The 2,469-nt window shown below is 40.7% G+C and overlaps 1 annotated feature.

Annotated features, from left to right (window-relative positions):
* Nucleotides 969-1,263: an enhancer, noted in NCBI's record as "tiled region #9086; HepG2 Activating non-DNase unmatched - State 10:DNaseD". NCBI's record gives its function as "activates a minimal TATA promoter and a strong SV40 promoter by Sharpr-MPRA in HepG2 cells {active_cell/tissue: HepG2}" and the evidence as "EXISTENCE:reporter gene assay evidence [ECO:0000049][PMID:27701403]".

Below are 2,469 nucleotides of genomic sequence, written 5' to 3' on the forward strand. Positions count from 1 at the left end.
TATAAATATTTAATACAGAGAAACTGTTTTCAATTTTGTCAATATCAGAATATTTTCTTTCTGTTAACACAATATCACATTTTATGCATACACACATGATCCATTTTAGTCTACTTTAAGTTTCATTTTGAAGACACCACTTGCATTTGTTAACTGCCCAGTTTGAGCTATAAAAACCTGGACTACAGCAGTAGCTTTCTGTGAATAGAGATTGATATTAAAGCAACTGAAAATGTTTATAAAATGCTATTGCCTACTGCTGATCTGGGGATTTACTACACAGTTTATTAGACTTTTTCCTTCACCATTGATAGTGGCAGGAGGCAGACAAATGCCTAGGTAGATAGGGACGGGTCTCCAGTGAAACCCCATCTTCAAGTCAAATACAGCCTGAGCCTGAAAGACCTGGCTGCTAGTTCCAGATGAAACCTGAGACCTGAAGTAAGAACTTCTATTACTGTTTGCCTGTGCTTTCCTGATTTGTTCTTTCTGAATAATGCTTTTTAACCAATCAAATGTTGCTTTTTCCAATACCACCTATACCTGCCACTGCCCCATCCTGTGCCTATAAAAATCCCGGACCTAGATGAGCTAACTTCAGGTCAGAGACCACCTTCTCCTCCCCTGTTCGCTGAGAGCTGTTTTGTCGCTCAATAAAATTCTTTGTCCTCATCACTCTTGAACTGTCAGCGTGACCTCATTCGTCTTGGACATGAGACAAGAACTTGGGACTCACTGAACACAAGTACTCAGAAGGCTGTAACACTGTGGTCCTCTGTCCTCTGGGGGAGGGCGGCTGCCCCACATGACAGGAAGCAGTGGCAAAGCTGAGCCAGCCCCAGAGCCACCAGCCAGAGCAGGGCAAGGGGCTGACAGAGCTGTTAACATGTCACTATCCCTAGGGCTGCGGATGGCAGAACTAAAAGAGCTAATTAGCAAGTAGAATCGCCCCTTCCGGGGCTTCAAGGTCTGAGCACCCCTCTTGGGGTGCCACCGCATTCCCTTCGGGGTGACATGCCTGGTCCAGCTGCAAGCCCTGCCTAGAACCTGCCTGTGTACCGGTGCTTGGAACAGCCAGCTGGACCCCACACTCACTTGCTCACACACCCACTCCTGCCAGGGGCTGAGTGCGCAGCCACAGTAGCCACGGATTTAGCTGGTGCACAAGCCAGGCACGCCCGGGCAGGACGAGTGGGCGGGCTTCTTCCTGTGGCAGGTAGCCTGGCCAATCAAGGGCCAGGCAGGGGCGTTGCCGGCCAGAGGTCCCTGTCTGGCAAAATGACCAAGAAAAATTCCGAGTCACCAGCACATATGAAGGATAGAGCATGTTCCATCTGGTGATTCTCAGTATTATTCAGAAGGAAGAGAAGGACTCCACCTTAAAGTGAGGGAGTCTATCAGAATGTTGGCTGCGGGGGGATGGGCGGTTGAAATAAACATTGGTGATGATTTAATGATAGTAGCACATAATAATGCTACTCTCTTTCCTCACCATTCTGTAGCTCTTAAACTAATTTGTTTTCTATTAATAATTATATAACTTTTATTCTGATATTTATTGAATATTTATGATGTGCCAGATCCTTACAAAAACTTTGTCTTAATTCTCACAATCTCTCTCTAAGGCAGATAATCTTCTTATTCTCCTTACATATGAGGAAACTGAAATGTTAAGTCACTTATTCATGTTGGATATTGTAATATCTAGAGCTCAAAAAGATGCCCATATGGCATCAAATTCCATAATCTAAAATGCTATTATTGTACTATTTGTCTAGTGTTGCCTCAGGTTAGTATCAAATGCATCTTACTAAAATTATTTATTTTAAGAATATTCAATATATTTTTTGCATCTAGTAATGTGATTTTTGCATCTAGAAAAAACATGTGTTTTTAAAAATTACTGCAGCTGTGCATCTGATCAAAGAACAATAGATTTAATCACTGCCTTGAAGGTGCTACACATTATTGATAATAAAATATTAATTTTTTAGATGAAATATATGCATCCTCAAATTAAACATTTCATTTTCTACTGCTTTTCAAATGTATTATAGTTTATTTTTCAATAATATTTAAAATAATGAGAATTGATATTCTTAGTCAGAAATTTTAAAGGCAAAACTGATTACTGCATTAACTTAGAACTGAATGATCTGTACAAAAAAGGATAAAAAGATCAAATGTAAAAGTAGGTCTTAATATCTAGGTAAACTCACACTTTAAAATGAACTTTATAACACTTCCTTAGCATTTTGTAGTGCATATGTTTTTTGCTCTTTTTTTTTTTTATTTTAATAGAATGTGCTATAGGAGGGCAGGCGCAGGGGCTCACACCTGTAATCCCAGCACTTTGGGAGCTTTGGGAGACCCAGGCAGACGGATCCCATGAAATCAGGAGTTGGAGATTAGCCTGGCCAACATGGTGAAACTCTGTCTCTACTAAAAATACAAAAATTAGCCAGGCGT

The sequence above is a fragment of the Homo sapiens genome, chromosome 4, assembly GCF_000001405.40.
Source record: "Homo sapiens chromosome 4, GRCh38.p14 Primary Assembly".
NCBI classification, from domain to species: Eukaryota; Metazoa; Chordata; class Mammalia; order Primates; family Hominidae; genus Homo; species Homo sapiens.